This window comes from Homo sapiens, chromosome 5 (assembly GCF_000001405.40).
Source record: "Homo sapiens chromosome 5, GRCh38.p14 Primary Assembly".
Taxonomy (NCBI): Eukaryota; Metazoa; Chordata; class Mammalia; order Primates; family Hominidae; genus Homo; species Homo sapiens.
In genome coordinates, this window is record NC_000005.10 from 58,539,936 (window position 1) to 58,558,558 (window position 18,623).

At 40.0% G+C, this 18,623-nt stretch overlaps 1 long non-coding RNA gene across 1 annotated transcript, besides 1 other annotated feature; it reads right to left on the reverse strand.

Annotated features, from left to right (window-relative positions):
* Window positions 1–1,631: 1,631 nt before the first annotated feature.
* Window positions 1,632–18,308, reverse strand: LINC02108 (long intergenic non-protein coding RNA 2108). Its single transcript, NR_109904.1, has 4 exons — window positions 18,251–18,308; window positions 7,200–7,436; window positions 6,157–6,224; window positions 1,632–2,452 (listed from the first exon to the last, which is right to left on the reverse strand). It is a non-coding gene; the product is annotated as a long intergenic non-protein coding RNA 2108 (long non-coding RNA).
* Window positions 3,338–4,537: an enhancer, noted in NCBI's record as "MED14-independent group 3 enhancer chr5:57839100-57840299 (GRCh37/hg19 assembly coordinates)". NCBI's record gives its function as "activates an origin of replication core promoter dependent on BRD2, BRD4, P300/CBP and CDK7 cofactors, and independent of MED14, by STARR-seq in HCT116 cells {active_cell/tissue: HCT116}" and the evidence as "EXISTENCE:reporter gene assay evidence [ECO:0000049][PMID:35650434]".
* Window positions 18,309–18,623: the final 315 nt, after the last annotated feature.

Here is an 18,623-nt window from a genome sequence, read left to right on the forward strand (position 1 = left end):
ATCAGAGACTAGGATTGCAACCCCTGCCTTTTTTTGTTTTCCATTTGCTTGGTAGATCTTCCTCCATCCTTTTATTTTTGAGCCTATATGTGTCTCTGCACGTGAGGTGGGTTTCCTGAATACAGCACACTGATGGATCTTTACTCTTTATCCAATTTGCCAGTCTGTGTTTTTTAATTGGAGAATTTAGTCCATTTACATTTAAAGTTAATATTGTTATGTGTGAATTTGATCCTGTCATTATGATGTTAGCTGGTGATTTTGCTCGTCAGTTGATGCAGTTTCTTCCTAGCCTCGATGGTCTTTACAATTTGGCATGATTTTGCAGTGGCTGATACCGGTTGTTCCTTTCCATGTTTAGTGCTTCCTTCAGGAGCTCTTTTAGGGCAGGCCCGGTGGTGACAAAGTCTCTCAGCGTTTGCTCGTCTGTAAAGTATTTTATTTCTCGTTCACTTATGAAGCTTAGTTTGGCTGGATATGAAATTCTGGGTTGAAAATTCTTTTCTTTAAGAATGTTGAATATTGGCCCCCACTCTCTTCTGGCTTGTAGAGTTTCTGCCGAGAGATCCGCTGTTAGTCTGATGGGCTTCCCTTTGTGGGTAACCCGACCTTTCTCTCTAGCTGCCCTTAACATTTTTTCCTTCATTTCAACTTTGGTGAATCTGACAATTATGTGTCTTGGAGTTGCTCTTCTCAAGGAGTATCTTTGTGGCATTCTCTATATTTCCTGAATCTGAATGTTGGCCTGACTTGCTAGATTGGGGAAGTTCTCCTGGATAATATCCCGCAGAGTGTTTTCCAACTTGGTTCCATTCTCCCCGTCGCTTTCAGGAACACCAATCAGATGTAGATTTGGTCTTTTCACATAGTCCCATATTTCTTCGAGGCTTTGTTCGTTTCTTTTTATTCTTTTTTCTCTAAACTTCCCTTCTTGCTTCATTTCATTCATTTCATCTTCCATCACTGATACCCTTTCTTCCAGTTGATCGCATCAGCTCCTGAGGCTTCTGCATTCTTCACGTAGTTCTTGAGCCTTGGCTTTCAGCTCCATCAGCTCCTTTAAGCACTTCTCTGTATTGGTTATTCTAGTTATACATTCGTCTAAATTTTTTTCAAAGTTTTCAACTTCTTTGCCTTTGGTTTGAATTTCCCCCTGTAGCTCAGAGTCATTTGATCGTCTGAAGCCTTCCTCTCTCAACTCGTCAAGGTCATTCTCCGTCCAGCTTTGTTCCATTGCTGGTGAGGAGCTGCGTTCCTTTGGAGGAGGAGAGGTGCTCTGCTTTTTAGAGTTTCCAGCTTCTGTGCTCTGTTTTTTCCCCATCTTTGTGGTTTTATCTGCTTTTGGTCTTTGATGATGATGATGTACAGATGGGTTTTTGGTGTGGATGTCCTTTCTGTTTGTTAGTTTTCCTTCTAACAGACAGGACCCTCAGCTGCAGGTCTGTTGGAGTTTGCTAGAGGTCCACTCCAGACCCTGTTTGCCTGGGTACCAGAAGCGGTGGCTGCAGAACAGCAGATTTTCGTGAACCGTGAATGCTGCTGTCTGATCGTTCCTCTGGAAGTTTTGTCTCAGAGGAGTACCCGGCTGTGTGAGGTGTCAGTCTGCCCCTACTGGGGGGTGCCTCCCAGTTAGGCTGCTTGGGGGTCACAGGTCAGGGACCCACTTGAGGAGGCAGTCTGCCTGTTCTCAGATCTCCAGCTGCGTGCTGCGAGAACCACTGCTCTCTTCAAAGCTGTCAGACAGGGACATTTAAGTCTGCAGAGGTTACTGCTGTCTTTTTGTTTGTCTGTGCCCTGCCCCCAGAGGTGGAGCCTACAGAGACAGGCAGGTCTCCTTGAGCTGTGGTGGGCTCCACCCAGTTAGAGCTTCCTGGCTGCTTTGTTTACCTAAGCAAGCCTGGGCAATGGCGGGCGCCCCTCCCACAGCCTTGCTGCCACCTTGCAGTTTGATCTCAGAGTGCTGTGCTAGCAATCAGCGAGACTCCGTGGGCGTAGGACCCTCCGAGCCAGGTGCGGGATATAATCTCCTGGTGTGCTGTTTTTTAAGCCCATAGGAAAAGCACAGTATTGGGGTGGGAGTGACCCGATTTTCCAGGTGCCCTCTGTCACCCCTTTCTTTGACTAGGAAAGGGAACTCCCTGACCCCTTGCACTTCCCGAGTGAGGCAATGCCTTGCCCTGCTTTGGCTCACGCATGGTGTGCTGCACCCACTGTCCTGTGCCCACTGTCTGGCACTCCCTAGTGAGATGAACCCAGTACCTCAGATGGAAATGCAGAAATCTCCCGCCTTCTGTGTCGCTCACCCTGGGAGCTGTAGACCGGAGCTGTTCTTATTCGGCCACCTTGGCTCCACCCTACAGGATTCTTTTTAGTCCAGGCTCACCTAGTTCTTGTCAGCTTTCCTCACTTGAGCACCTCTCAGCAGAATGCACCTCCAGTCCCACCTTCTATTCTGAAAGGGAAAAGGAGATAGTAAGAGTCAAATAGGAAAAAGCTTGGATGCACTTTGCTGCTCCCACCAAAAGCTGTGCTATTTGCTCTTTAAGTTCTTAGGGCTCTCTGGGTGTGCAATGGATGAGAAGTAGGCAGATAATGTAATTAACTAAATTAAATCTACTTAAAAGGTTTTTAAACACTTACCCAGCATATTATGTTGTGAATGAGAGAATGATAGAATTATATTTTCTGGAGCAGTGTACACTGATCATCTTTTATTTTCAGCAAAAAAACCTCTTGTGTTACTAACACAATAACATATACAAATAAAGTCAAGAAGTACCAGTGTTGTCATTTCTCTATTATAGAATCCACTCATATTTTAGTTATTCCAAAACTCTTTAACTGCCACAAAAGAGGGCAATCCTAGAGATGTCACATTTTAAATTCTAGGCACAAAACCCTTCAGATGACATAGCAGTTATTCCTTCTTTTCCTAATGAGGCTGACAGCCACCAGAGGCCCTCCAACTCCAGAACTCAACAATAGAACTGGAATGCTAATGAGCTCTCAACAGTGCATCAGCCCAGAGGTAAATCTGGTGGTGATCGATCATTCTGAAAGCACATATTTGCCTGTCATGTCCACAACTGGTATGTTAAGCACCTGCAGTCTGCTCCATGTCTATATAGGCTTCTTTTCTATGGAGTACTGTCTTAATGTCAACAACCATTTTAGGTTAATCTGTTCACTTGTTATTCCTTACCTGAAATTATTTTCTCAATATTCTTCTGCCTCAAAACAAATTCTCAATGTTCACTGTCTCTTGTGAGGGAAATCTCATACTGGCAAAGATGACTCTGCTTTTTTGGTGCTGATAATATTCACTGTTATTCAACAAAAGATTTTACTTTATCCCATGAATAATAATGCTGAGCCTTTGATTTACTGAGTCGGATGAGTGATTGAGGTTGAGAGGCCTGGGTTATACCTCCACAGTCTACTTTGTGAGTATCTGGGTACTCAGAGATCTAGTTATGGAAGAGTCCAGGAAAGAACTTAATGGTCTGCCTTGTTCTCCACACAGGCTCCAACAGCAGGAGAAGACCATTTTGTATGGCTCGATCCTTCCAAGGTTGGGAGCCAAACAACCTGCTGAACATGCCAATGTGGCATAACTATGAACTAAAGAAACATCCTCCACCCAAATCTCCCAGGCCAGGAATAAGGAGGGCTAAAGACCTCTCTACAGTCTGCCACCTCAGTGTTTCATGTTTATATTGTCAAGTCGCTCCTCAATAAAATTCATCCCATTTCCAGAATGTCTCAGAGCAGACAGATCACTCAGCTGGGAGTCAATTCCCCTTCAACCCATCTTCATCAAGATACCATATTATCCTCCTTAAAAGGGCATTATCGGCCAGGTGTGGTGGCACAGGCCTATAGTTCCAGCTACTGGGGAGGCTGAGGTGGGAGGATCACTAAAGCCCAGGAGGTCAAGGCTGCAGTGATCTGTGATTGTGCCACTGCATTCCAGCCTGGATGACACAGCAAAACCCTGTCTCAGAAAAAAAAAAAAAGGCATTATCTCATCATTCCTCTGCCATAGGTACTGCGATGATTCTCTATTGAATCATTTGGATAAGGCCAGCCTTCCTCAATATCATATTCAAGGTTCTCCATTGTTTTTCCCCAGTCAATACTTTTCTAGTATATTTTCCACTTCTCTTCTTTTCATTGGCATTTCTATCCAAAGCTTATCTTTGTTGATGCAGTTCACCCACTTGAAATTCTCTCACAGTTTTCAACAACAAGGACTCTACTCAACTACAGAATGAGTGTCTCTTGGAGTGGGAACACAAGAGGAGAAATTTTTGGTCATTGAGAGTGATTTTATTCTTAACCTATTTTCCCAGTGAGACTCTAAAAGCCCAAGAGGGCAAATACACTTGCCTTCCAGGGACCTAAGCTGCCACATTTAGTTAAGGTTATTTGTCTTTTGCAAGATACTCTAGAGCACTGAGACATTTCACAATGTTTCATTACAGAGGAAGTGAGGATTATGGCATGTAAATTTTAATGTTGAGAAATTCCGTTTTTCACAGTTATTTTAACTTCCCTAAAAGCACATACAACTGTAATCATCTCAAAAAAGGAGAGTTCTGATAGCTATCTACTTCTTTGCCATTAATTCAACCTATTCATTCTATGATTAAACACATCCTTTACATTGTGTTTTGGATTTGCCCAACTGTCTAAGTTGTTTGAGAGAATATGTTCAGAGGTCTTCAAGAAAAAAAGTGTTTTTAGATTTTTGATCACACTAGTCTCGTTCATGACAAGATATCAAAATATCAAGATTCTTATCTTAATCAAACGAACTTACTTCTATCCTAGGAAAAAATTTGGAAGTACCCGGTTCAGATTTTTTAAAACCTTCTTTCTATTTCCCACAAGATGTTTTACAAGTTCAGAGAAGCAGTTGTTTTCAGAATTTTGACCTTGATTTGTATAGAATCAACCTAGCTATTGTAACTTCCTACATCTTAAATAACATGTTTTTCACATTAACTTTGATGAACTGCTGCCTGAAATTGATTCCTTGGACCTTAATTTAGTGGTCCATTGGCTACTTGCTTTATAAGAATGTTTATTTTTATTCTAGAAGTCAAAGATCAAAATGAGCTATTCCTTACCACATTTCAGACATGGTAATTTTAACAGGGCATAGAAGTTTGTTTCTATTGTGCAACCTCTGATGCTGCACAATTAACGACCACTGAAAGAACCTGAGGGAAAAAATATTATTATTAATACTGGCTGCTGTTTTTGTGAGGTGGTAGTTGCTACTGCTGGGAAATTAAGTGGAAGAAAAGGGAAAAAATGAAAAATTTTACATTTGCAGATTTAACATATGTGGAGGGACGACTTGCTTCAAGGCATTTGCATACTAACTTTTAACAGTAGTAGCAACATTAAGTGATATTTTAGTTCAAGATTTATATTTGGTGCTAATAATCTGAGGAATAATTTAGAGAACTACACACACAGAGAAACACACACACACGCACACGCACACAGAGACACACAGTGTGAGATCTAAAACGTAGCATTTGCCAGAAAGTAGGGCTATAACTCAGTAAAATGATGTTGGCTACCAAGCATGAAAAGCCCTGCTTACTTATGCTGGGACGCACTTATAAATCAAAAGAAGCCCTGAGGTGAACAAATCATTTATGCAAAAATTTTGCTTTTGCCTACATAAGTGATTAGCTTTAATTCAGTACTTTTTTTAAGCCTGATAGCTCATTTTTTTTTATCATTTAGTAAGTGTCCTCACAAGTTTATCAGATAATTTGCTAAAAACCACTGATGCCATAGATTAATTTACATGTAAGGATAAGTGGCATTGTTTCGAAAGCTTTCTACCTCCCCAGTACATATACCTTTTGCCATCTCTTTAATTAGAGCACACTTGGAGCCCAAAATAGAATCTCCTGGTAATGTAAATGTGCTTGAAAATGGTTAAAAGGGTAAATTTTATGTTATATATATTTTACCACAATAAATAAATAATTTTAAAAATCACCATTAAAACAAATAAAACTTAAATACCCCAGGTTTACCTCCAGATGATATTGTTTAATTGCCCCTGCCTGGAAGGCATAGGTATTTATTAAACATTCTACAGATGACTCAGATGTCCCCAGGGTTACTAACCTCTGACCCAGCTGACTCCTGTCTCTGTTAGCCACTTCCTCTTGCAAGTTCTCCTGCACATTGACATCCTGTTAAAGTCCCAAAAACTTTTATCACATCACTCTCCTGTTCAGTTCCTTCACTTGCTCCCCATGACTGGACCATTGTCAACTGTTTAAGCAGTAACTTCTATAAGTGAGGAAGGCATCATTGAGTATAATAGACAGCATTTAATATTAATTTTAATACTAGGGAAATATTTTGAATCTTAAAAACTGACACATAGCAAAATATATATAAGCCTAGATTTCCAGGGTCAGAGCCAGGTCCATAGTTTGTAAACTATGTGGCTACCCAAGTGGGATGAAAAACTTCTCACTTGGTGGTTCATGTCTAGAAAACTGAAATTCCAAAATCAAGGCTTCATTTCGTTGGGTTAAAGAAGCAAAGAACATTAAAATGCAAATGTCCCTAAGGGGGAAGTCTGACATGGGATTGCCTTTCCTTTCTAGCTGGACTATTAACTGAAGGGAAGATCTATCTGATGGGGAATTGGTAGAGAGATCAAGAACACTGGGAATCTCCAGAGACTCTCAGCATTAGGAGAAGCCCATATGAAAAAAAGGAGTAAAAATGCTGAAAACCAGCTCTCTTTACTTCATCATTTTCCTTTAATAGCTCTGCCTTAAGGTGTGTGCATGTGTGTGCACTTGCACAATCTGTGTAAGAGAGTGAGGGAAATATTTAAAATTACAGCTATCTTCTAAGATTAGATAGTTGTGATTTAAATAATAATTCTTTAGTTGGAAATTTTAAAAATGAGCAATGAGAAGGTGCTTGCTCTATCAAACATTAAAAAGTAGAACAAAGTTACAAAAACTAAAGTATCGTGGGAGTAGCATTGGAATACACAGAGAGATAAATGAATAGAAAAAAATCAATAAACATATTCAAGTATACACACATTTATGTATGGATTTTATGTTATTTAGCAGATGATAAAGATGACATAAAATCATGAGGCCATTAAAATGTAGAAACAGGCCCGGCGCGGTGGTTCACACCTGTAATCCCAGCACTTTGGGAGGCTGAGGAGGGCAGATAACTTGAGGTCGGGAGTTCAGTTCGAGACCAGCCTGGCCAACATGGAGAAACACCATCTCTACTGAAAATACAAAATTAGCCGGGCATGGTGGCACATGCCTATAATCCCAGCTACTCGGGAGGCTGAGGCAGAAGAATCGCTTGAACCCAGGAGGCAGAGGTTGCGGTGAGCCGAGATTGAGCCATTGCACTCCAGCCTAGGCAACAAGAGTGAAACTCCAACTCAAAATAATAATAATAATAATAATAATAATAATAATAATAATAAAAGAAAATAAAATGTAGAAACATATTTATTGGCATAAGAAGTTAAGGTAAGACACTCTTGCTTTACACATAGATAGACATATAGGTAATTATGGAAAAAAACAATGATAAAAGGGGTTATCATCAGATGGTGGCACTTTGGGTCACTTTAATTTTTTCCTGTTGTTTATCTGAATGTTTAAAATATAAGTTATACTCATGTAACTTGTATAAAAATGCTTTATCATTTACAAAAGGCTGAAACTGAAGAGGTTTTTTATATCAGAAGCTTATAAACACAGTGATAATTTATTCTGATACTATTTTATAATTACCGCAGGGTTTGCAGAAGCTTAGACTGCTTATAAAAATAGAAGCCCAAGAAATACAGATCCACATCTAGAAAAATGGGTCTCTAAAATCTCAAAGGAAGATTCTATAAATGAAGTAAATACTAGGTTTATAGAATAGTATGAAATAAGGAATTATTTTCCAGTAGAGTGGGCACAGTAGGTGAAACGTATAAAACTTATTGAGGCACGGGAACTATGAGTTAGGCTGGAAGAACTTACTTTATATTTCAGCCTGAAAGAGGTGAGAAAAAAAGAAAAAGAAGATCTTTTTTTTTTTTGCCCATAATTCTTTTTGTCCTTTTCCAGGAGCAATCTAGCAAAGATTAAAGATGTGCACAGAATAATGTTGTTGAGGGTAGTGGCAAGGTGTCCACAGGAGTGACATGACCTGAGAGCCCACACAAGGATTGAGGCAGCAATATTTTCCAGCAAGCCTGTGCTTCTATTGCTAAAAGGGCTGTGTAAGTCAGATAAATGCCAAACTCGTAATTCACCCAGACACAGCTTTTATACCGGCTAGGTCAATCCAATTATCTCAGAGCAGGGACAATGGGGAAAGTGCATCAGGATGTATTAGGCAGCTTTCCACTAGCAAAATGAGGTTAAAAAATATGGAAACTTCCCACTACCACCTATAGGGTGACCACATAGCTTATTGATGTACAGAGCTTCTACCTCCTGTCCCCTCAGCCCAAACCCACCTTCCCAAGACTATAGGACCACTCTCCTACAGCGAGACCAAACTCCAAGTAAGTTTTATATATACTATATTTTTACTCAAAAGCCTTCCCATGTGTCAAAATGGCTCTAAGTAATCAACACTTATTAAGAGTTTACAATATGCCAGGCATTGCTGTAAGCCATTTACAATTATGAATGAACTTATTTAATGCTCACAGCCCAAGGCTGTAGGTACTGTTTTCTTCCGCATTTCACCTATAAGGACTTACAGACACAGAGATATTAGGTAACTTGATTGATATCACACAGCTAGTAAGTGGCAGAGCTGGGATACTAACAGACAAAGCCTTCTCTTTCAACTTTCGCATTGTATTTTGAGAGAAATAAATGGCTTAGTGTAAGTTTATATCTATCCACAAGGCTCCAACCACAAAAGAGGGTCAAATAAGAATCCTCAAATCTAACCAAAGAGAAGAGTACTTCATCTCCTTGAGGGTAGAGATAGAGATGAGTAGGAAGAAAAAAGAAGAAAGGATTGAGGAAGACTGAAGGGAGGAACGAAGGATCGAGTAATCAGAAGCAGGGCCCACAATGAAGATAAAGAAACCGTGATGCATCCACACAGTAGAATACTACTCAGCAAACACGGATGAAATCTCAAGTGCATTCTGCCAAGTGATAGAAGCCAGACACAAAAGGCTACCTTCTTTATGACTCAATTTACATGAAATTCTGGAAGAAGCAAAGCCTTAAGGATGGAAAACACCAGTTGCCAGGGTTTGAGTTGGCAAGGGTAGGAGGTGTGACTATAAAGGTGGATTAGGTAATTTTTTAGGTAATTAACCACTCAATACATTTGTCAGAAGTCTCAGAAGCGTACATTAAAAAGGGTGAATTTTACTGTATCTAAATTATACCTTAATTTTTAAAAAACACATCACCCGCAACACCCAGAACAGCTTTGAAAATACTGTTTCTCGGCCGGGCGCGGTGGCTCACGCCTCTAATCCCAGCACTTCAGGAGGCCGGGGTGGGCAGATCACGAGGTAGGCGATCCAGACTATCCTGTCTAACACGGTGAAACCCCGTCTCTACTAAAAATACAAAACATTAGCCGTGCGTGGTGGCGGGCGCCTGTAGTCCCAGCTACTGGGGAGGCTGAGTCAGGAGAATGGCGTGAACCCGGGAGGCGGAGCTTACAGTGAGCCAAGATCGCGCCACTGCACTCCAGCCTGGGTGACAGAGCGAGAGTCTGTGTCAAAAAAAAACCAAAAAAAATCTGTTTCTCTCACTTGGCGTTCAGTAATCATTTAGCTTAGATAGGGCACTTGTCCTATGAGCACAGTCCTGTTTGTGATGTATAGTGGGATGATATTTCTTCTGTCTTAAACTGGGTTAGTTAAGAAATTTCCTTTCGGCAGGCACAGTGGCTCCTGCCTGTAATCCCAGCACTTGGGAGGCCAAGGTGGAAGGATCACTTGAGCCCAGGAATTTGAGGTGGAAGTGAGCCATGATCACACCACTGCCCTGCAGCATAGGTGACAGAGTGAGACCCTGTCTCAAAAAGATAAAGAAGTTTCCTTTGGAAATTACGACACTGAAAATTGATTCCAGGTTAAGGGATATTAAAGTTAATAATAATAATAATATAACTAATTGAATAAAATAAGAATACTAAGTTCATACTAATATTAAATATCTAAATGGGGACAAGAGAAAGCTTTCTTACAATAGAATACAACTAATAAATGTAGGTGTAATAATAGAGTTGTTTAAAGAAAAATCATCATTTTGGAAAAAACTACCATTTTGTTTCTACCGTAGTTATAATTGATCCAGCAAGAATTATCAATGGATTCTAAACCTGGTTGGTGGATATTTGATGAGAATCAGGATAGCTCCACATATTCCAAAAAGTATATTGGCACATATTACTTATTAATTACAAAGGTGAGAATAGTAAGTGTAAGATGTAAAAAGCTTAATCAATGATCAAAGTTAACATCAACAATTCTGAAACAAATTAAATTCTCATGCCCCCTGATGTGATGTCCTGAGTACATATCACTAGGTACTATTCCTGCCCAAAATGCCTAACCTGAGTATAATTTTAAGGAAACCTCAGACAAACTCAAACTGAGGAACATTTTACAAAATAATTGGCCGGTACTCTTCAAAAATGTCAAGTTCAAAAAAGTTAATGAAAATCGAATTCAAGAAGATGGAAGAGTCTTGACAACTAAATAAAACGTGTGAACCTTGTGATTAGATTTAGGACTGGGAAAAAGGCAATAAAGGACACTATTAAGACAACTGGTGAATTTCGAATATGGCCTTGGTAATAGAATTATATCGATGCTAAATTTCCTAAATTTGATAAATGTACTCTGGTTATATAACAGAATATTCTTATCTACTCTCAAATGATTCAGAAAAAAAATCTATAAGTATACACACACACACATATATATATATACACACACACAGAATATAAAGCAGATGTGAAAGTGTTAACAATAAATGAAGGTGAAGAACATGAGATTTCTTTGTATCCCTCTTGCAACTTTCCTGTAAGTTCAAAATTATACCAATCAAAAAAATTACCCCCCAAATTAGGATTCAGAGAACTGAAATACTTTCCCCAGGGTCAGAAAGCTAGTGCATGCATAGAATAAGGATTCCAATGGGTGGTCTGATTACAAAGATCACACTCTTTTCACTGACTTGGGCTGCACCACACCATTAGTCCAATAGCCTGTCTCTTGCCTCAAGTGTCACTCTTGAGGGTAAGCAGCAAAAATAATGCTGTAGATAGTTAATATAACTGTTCTTCTAATGAAAGCAGCTCAGCCAACACTGGAAAAATGCTACAAAAATACTGAGAATTCAGAGGCTAAGAGGGAGGCAATAATAATAATATGCTATTATCATAGTAATGGCTTCAAATGAATTCATCTTCTGAATTCCTAGCGGGGAATAGCACAATAGCAGATACCTGCAACAGGAATTGTTCTATTGGAGGAAGCCAGTTTTTCTTCATTAGTCTGTATACTTGGAGGTTACAGTAGCAACATCAGAAAAGAAAAAAAATTTCCTTGAAGTTCTTCAACCTCTCTGAGAATCAATAGTAACACTAAAAAAATAGCTGGCATTTATTGGCACATACTATATGTATCAGACACTTTCTAAGCACATTACCCATGTAAACTCATTGCATCATCATGTACCATGAGTAGCACTATTGTAATCTCCATCTTCCAGCTGCAGAAACCAAGGCAAAGAGAGATTAGTTAAATTGCAGCTAGAAAGGAAGAACCAAGATTTGTCGGTCAGGTTATAAGGTCTACACTCTAGACCACTGTTCTTTATAGCCTCCCAGGAAAGAAAAATTCATGTGAATCATCCTGAAACAAAATGCACCTTCAGTGTTATGGATAAGTTTATGATCTAGAAACATTTTTATTTTACTTCAAAGGTAAAATGATAGATCTCTTGGAAATTAATTAAAACACATGGGAGCTCACCCATCAATATAGAAAAATATAATGACCAGATGATGAACATAATTTGATGATGGCTGAGTTTGCTTTTTTGTTCTACTTTGGACAAAACAAAACAGATACCTGATCACCACTCTGATGGGGCATGGTTACTACTAATCAGGATAACACGTCACATTTAATCAATTCTGAGATGCAGTTTTAAAAATTTTTTTTTCACATTGTAACTTATCTGAACTTGGGATGCAATTTATAAATAATAGGAGTCATGGTTGATTGACACAGATTTTTCTTTTGTTCTTTTTTTTTTTTCAATTTTTTTTTTTATTATACTTTAAGTTTTAGGGTACATGTGCACATTGTACAGGTTAGTTACATATGTATACATGTGCCATGCTGGTGCACTGCACCCACTAACTCGTCATCTAGCATTAGGTATATCTCCCAATGCTATCCCTCCCCCCTCCCCCCACCCCACCACAGTCCCCAGAGTATGATATTCCCCTTCCTGTGTCCATGTGATCTCATTGTTCAATTCCCACCTATGAGTGAGAATATGCGGTGTTTGGTTTTTTGTTCTTGCGATAGTTTACTGAGAATGATGATTTCCAATTTCATCCATGTCCCTACAAAGGACATGAACTCATCATTTTTATGGCTGCATAGTATTCCATGGTGTATATGTGCCACATTTTCTTAATCCAGTCTATCATTGTTGGACATTTGGGTTGGTTCCAAGTCTTTGCTATTGTGAATAGTGCCGCAATAAACATACGTGTGCATGTGTCTTTATAGCAGCATGATTTATAGTCATTTGGGTATATACCCAGTAATGGGATGGCTGGGTCAAATGGTATTTCTAGTTCTAGATCCCTGAGGAATCGCCACACTGACATCCACAATGGTTGAACTAGTTTACAGTCCCACCAACAGTGTAAAAGTGTTCCTATTTCTCCACATCCTCTCCAGCACCTATTGTTTCCTGACTTTTTAATGATTGCCATTCTAACTGGTGTGAGATGGTATCTCATAGTGGTTTTGATTGGCATTTCTCTGATGGCCAGTGATGATGAGCATTTTTTCACGTGTTTTTTGGCTGCATAAACGTCTTCTTTTGAGAAGTGTCTGTTCATGTCCTTCGCCCACTTTTTGATGGGTTTTTTTTTTTCTTGTAAATTTGTTTGAGTTCATTGTAGATTCTAGATATTAGCCCTTTGTCAGATGAGTAGGTTGCAAAAATTTTCTCCCATTTTGTAGGTTGCCTGCTCACTCTGATGGTAGTTTCCTTTGCTGTGCAGAAGCTCTTTAGTTTAATTAGATCCCATTTGTCAATTTTGGCTTTTGTTGCCATTGCTTTTGGTGTTTTGGACATGAAGTCCTTGCCCATGCCTATGTCCTGAATGGTAATGCCTAGGTTTTCTTCTAGGGTTTTTATGGTTTTAGGTCTAACGTTTAAATCTTTAATCCATCTTGAATTGATTTTTGTATAAGGTGTAAGGAAGGGATCCAGTTTCAGCTTTCTACATATGGCTAGCCAGTTTTCCCAGCACCATTTATTAAATAGGGAATCCTTTCCCCATTGCTTGTTTTTCTCAGGTTTGTCAAAGATCAGATAGTTGTAGGTATGCGGCGTTATTTCTGAGGGCTGTGTTCTGTTCCATTGATCTATATCTCTGTTTTGGTACCAGTACCATGCTGTTTTGGTTACTGTAGCCTTGTAGTATAGTTTGAAGTCAGGTAGTGTGATGCCTCCAGCTTTGTTCTTTTGGCTTAGGATTGACTTGGCAATGTGGGCTCTTTTTTGGTTCCATATGAACTTTAAAGTAATTTTTTTCCAATTCTGTGAAGAAAGTCATTGGTAGCTTGATGGGGATGGCATTGAATCTGTAAATTACCTTGGGCAGTATGGCCATTTTCACGATATTGATTCTTCCTACCCATGAGCATGGAATATTCTTCCACTTGTTTGTATCCTCTTTTATTTCCTTGAGCAGTGGTTTGTAGTTCTCCTTGAAGAGGTCCTTCACATCCCTTGTAAGTTGGATTCCTAGGTATTTTATTCTCTTTGAAGCAATTGTGAATGGGAGTTCACTGATGATTTGGCTCTCTGTTTGTCTGTTATTTGTGTATAAGAATGCTTGTGATTTTTGCACATTGATTTTGTATCCTGAGAGTTTGCTGAAGTTGCTTATCAGCTTAAGGAGATTTTGGGCTGAGACAATGGGGTTTTCTAGATATACAATCATGTCATCTGCAAACAGGGACAATTTGACTTCCTCTTTTCCTAATTGAATACACTTTATTTCCTTCTCCTGCCTAATTGCCCTGGCCAGAACTTCCAACACTATGTTGAATAGGAGTGGTGAGAGGGGGCATCCCTGTCTTGTGCCAGTTTTCAAAGGGAATGCTTCCAGTTTTTGCCCATTCAGTATGATATTGGCTGTGGGTTTGTTATAGATAGCTCTTATTATTTTGAAATACGTCCCATCAATACCTAATTTATTGAGAGTTTTTAACATGAAGGGTTGTTGAATTTTGTCAAAGGCTTTTTCTGCATCTATTGAGATAATTATGTGGTTTTTGTCTTTGGCTCTGTTTATATGCTGGATTACATTTATTGATTTGCGTATATTGAACCAGCCTTGCATCCCAGGGATGAAGCCCACTTGATCATGGTGGATAAGCTTTTTGATGTGCTGCTGGATTCAGTTTGCCAGTATTTTATTGAGGATTTTTGCATCAATGTTCATCAACGATATTGGTCTAAAATTCTCTTTTTTGGTTGTGTCTCTGCCCAGCTTTGGTATCAGAATGATGCTGGCCTCATAAAATGAGTTAGAGAGGATTCCTTCTTTTTCTATTGATTGGAATAGTTTCAGAAGGAATGGTACCAGTTCTTCCTTGTACTTCTGGTAGAATTCTGCTGTGAATCCATCTGGTCCTGGACTCTTTTTGGTTGGTAAACTATTGATTATTGCCACAATTTCAGATCCTGTTATTGGTCTATTCAGAGATTCAACTTCTTCCTGGTTTAGTCTTGGGAGAGTGTATGTGTCGAGGAATTTATCCATTTCTTCTAGATTTTCTAGTTTATTTGCGTAGAGGTGTTTGTAGTATTCTCTGATGGTAGTTTGTATTTCTGTGGGATCAGTGGTGATATCCCCTTTATCATTTTTTATTGTGTCTATTTGATTCTTCTCTCTTTTTTTCTTTATTAGTCTTGCTAGCGGTCTATCAATTTTGTTGATCCTTTCAAAAAACCAGCTCCTGGATTCATTGATTTTTTGAAGGGTTTTTTGTGTCTCTGTTTCCTTCAGTTCTGCTCTGATTTTAGTTATTTCTTGCCTTCTGCTAGCTTTTGAATGTGTTTGCTCTTGCTTCTCTAGTTCTTTTAATTGTGATGTTAGGGTGTCAATTTTGGATCTTTCCTGCTTTCTCTTGTGGGCATTTAGTGCTATAAATTTCCCTCTACACACTGCTTTGAATGCATCCCAGAGATTCTGGTATGTTGTGTCTTTGTTCTCATTGGTTTCAAAGAACATCTTTATTTCTGCCTTCATTTCGTTATGTACCCAGTAGTCATTCAGGAGCAGGTTGTTCAGTTTCCATGTAGTTGAGCGGCTTTGAGTGAGATTCTTAATCCTGAGTTCTAGTTTGATTGCACTGTGGTCTGAGAGACAGTTTGTTATAATTTCTGATCTTTTACATTTGCTGAGGAGAGCTTTACTTCCAAGTATGTGGTCAATTTTGGAATAGGTGTGGTGTGGTGCTGAAAAAAAATGTATATTCTGTTGATTTGGGGTGGAGAGTTCTGTAGATGTCTATTAGGTCCACTTGGTGCAGAGCTGAGTTCAATTCCTGGGTATCCTTGTTGACTTTCTGTCTCGTTGATCTGTCTAATGTTGACAGTAGGGTGTTAAAGTCTCCCATTATTAATGTGTGGGAGTCTAAGTCTCTTTGTAGGTCACTCAGGACTTGCTTTATGAATCTGGGTGCTCCTGTATTGGGTGCATATATATTTAGTATAGTTAGCTCTTCTTGTTGAATTGATCCCTTACCATTATGTAATGGCCTTCTTTGTCTCTTTTGATCTTTGGTGGTTTAAAGTCTGTTTTATCAGACTAGGATTGCAACCCCTGCCTTTTTTTGTTTTCCATTTGCTTGGTAGATCTTCCTCCATCCTTTTATTTTGAGCCTATGTGTGTCTCTGCACGTGAGATGGGTTTCCTGAATACAGCACACTGATGGGTCTTGACTCTTTATCCAATTTGCCAGTCTGTGTCTTTTAATTGGAGCATTTAGTCCATTTACATTTAAAGTTAATATTGTTATGTGTGAATTTGATCCTGTCATTGTGATGTTAGCTGGTGATTTTGCTCGTTAGTTGATGCAGTTTCTTCCTAGTCTCGATGGTCTTTACATTTTGGCATGATTTTGCAGTGGCCGGTACCGGTTGTTCCTTTCCATGTTTAGCGCTTTCTTCAGGAGCTCTTTTAGGGCAGGCCTGGTGGTGACAAAATCTCTCAGCATTTGCTTGTCTGTGAAGTATTTTATTTCTCGTTCACTTATGAAGCTTAGTTTGGCTGGATATGAAATTCTGGGTTGAAAATTCTTTTCTTTAAGAATGTTGAATATTGGCCCCCACTCTCTTCTGGCTTGTAGAGTTTCTGCCGAGAGATCCGCTGTTAGTCTGATGGGCTTCCCTTTGAGGGTAACCCGACCTTTCTCTCTAGCTGCCCTTAACATTTTTTCCTTCATTTCAACTTTGGTGAATCTGACAATTATGTGTCTTGGAGTTGCTCTTCTCGAGGAGTATCTTTGTGGTGTTCTCTGTATTTCCTGAATCTGAATGTTGGCCTGCCTTGCTAGATTGGGGAAGTTCTCCTGGATAATATCCTGCAGAGTGTTTTCCAACTTGGTTCCATTCTCCCCATCACTTTCAGTTACACCAATCAGACGTAGATTTGGTCTTTTCACATAGTCCCATTTTTCTTGGAGGCTTTGCTCATTTCTTTTTATTGTTTTTGCTCTAACCTTCCCTTCTCGCTTCATTTCATTCATTTCATCTTCCATTGCTGATACCCTTTCTTCCAGTTGATCGCATCGGCTCCTGAGGCTTCTGCATTCTTCACGTAGTTCTCGAGCCTTGGTTTTCAGCTCCATCAGCTCCTTTAAGCACTTCTCTGTATTGGTTATTCTAGTTATACATTCATCTAAATTTTTTTCAAAGTTTTCAACTTCTTTGCCTTTGGTTTGAATGTCCTCCCGTAGCTCAGAGTAATTTGATCGTCTGAAGCCTTCTTCTCTCAGCTCTTCAAAGTCATTCTCCATCCAGCTTTGTTCCGTTGCTGGTGAGGAACTGCGTTCCTTTGGAGGAGAAGAGGCGCTCTGCGTTTTAGAGTTTCCAGTTTTTCTGTTCTGTTTTTTCCCCATCTTTGTGGTTTTATCTACTTTTGGTCTTTGATGATGGTGATGTACAGATGGGTTTTCGGTGTGGATGTCCTTTCTGTTTGTTAGTTTTCCTTCTAACAGACAGGACCCTCAGCTGCAGGTCTGTTGGAATACCCTGCCGTGTGAGGTGTCAGTGTGCCCCTCCTGGGGGTGCCTCCCAGTTAGGCTGCTCAGGGGTCAGGGGTCAGGGACCCACTTGAGGAGGCAGTCTGACGGTTCTCAGATCTCCAGCTGGGTGCTGGGAGAACCACTGCTCCCTTCAAAGCTGTCAGACAGGGACATTTAAGTCGCAGAGGTTACTGCTGTCTTTTTGTTTGTCTGTGCCCTGCCCCCAGAGGTGGAGCCTACAGTGGCAGGCAGGCCTCCTTGAGCTGTGGTGGGCTCCACCCAGTTCGAGCTGCTTTGTTTACCTAAGCAAGCCTGGGCAATGGCGGGCGCCCCTCCCACAGCCTCGCTGCCGCCTTGCAGTTCGATCTCAGACTGCTGTGCTAGCAATCAGGGAGACTCTGTGGGCGTAGGACACTCCGAGCCAGGTGTGGGATATAGTCTCGTGGTGCGCCGTTTTTTAAGCCGGTCTGAAAAGCGCAATATTCGGGTGGGAGTGAACTGATTTTCCAGGTGCGTCCGTTACCCCTTTCTTTGACTCGGAAAGGGAACTCCCTGACCCCTTGAGCTTCCCAGGTGAGGCAATGCCTCGCCCTGCTTTGGCTCGCGCACCGTGCGCGCACCCACTGGCCTGCACCCACTGTCTGACACTCCCTAGTGAGATGAACCCGGTACCTCAGATGGAAATGCAGAAATCATCCGTCTTCTGCGTGGCTCACGCTGGGAGCTGTAGACCGGAGCTGTTCCTATTCGGCCGTCTTGGCTCCTCCCCCCTTTTCTTTTGTTCTTAATGGTAAATAAAATAATGATGTATCTCGTAATCAATTGATGACATCTTAGAATTGATAAAATATGCTAAACTTCCTTCCTCCTTCTTCTGATCAAGTCACATAATATGTAATCTTAAAAACATTTATTTTAGCTGATTTTGATAAGCATCACATTGTATTCACAGTATTGTTCACATATATAATGTTTACATTAAACATTATTTCACATTTATTAATTATAACATGTAATCTTATATTGCATTGATGCTGGAGAAAAA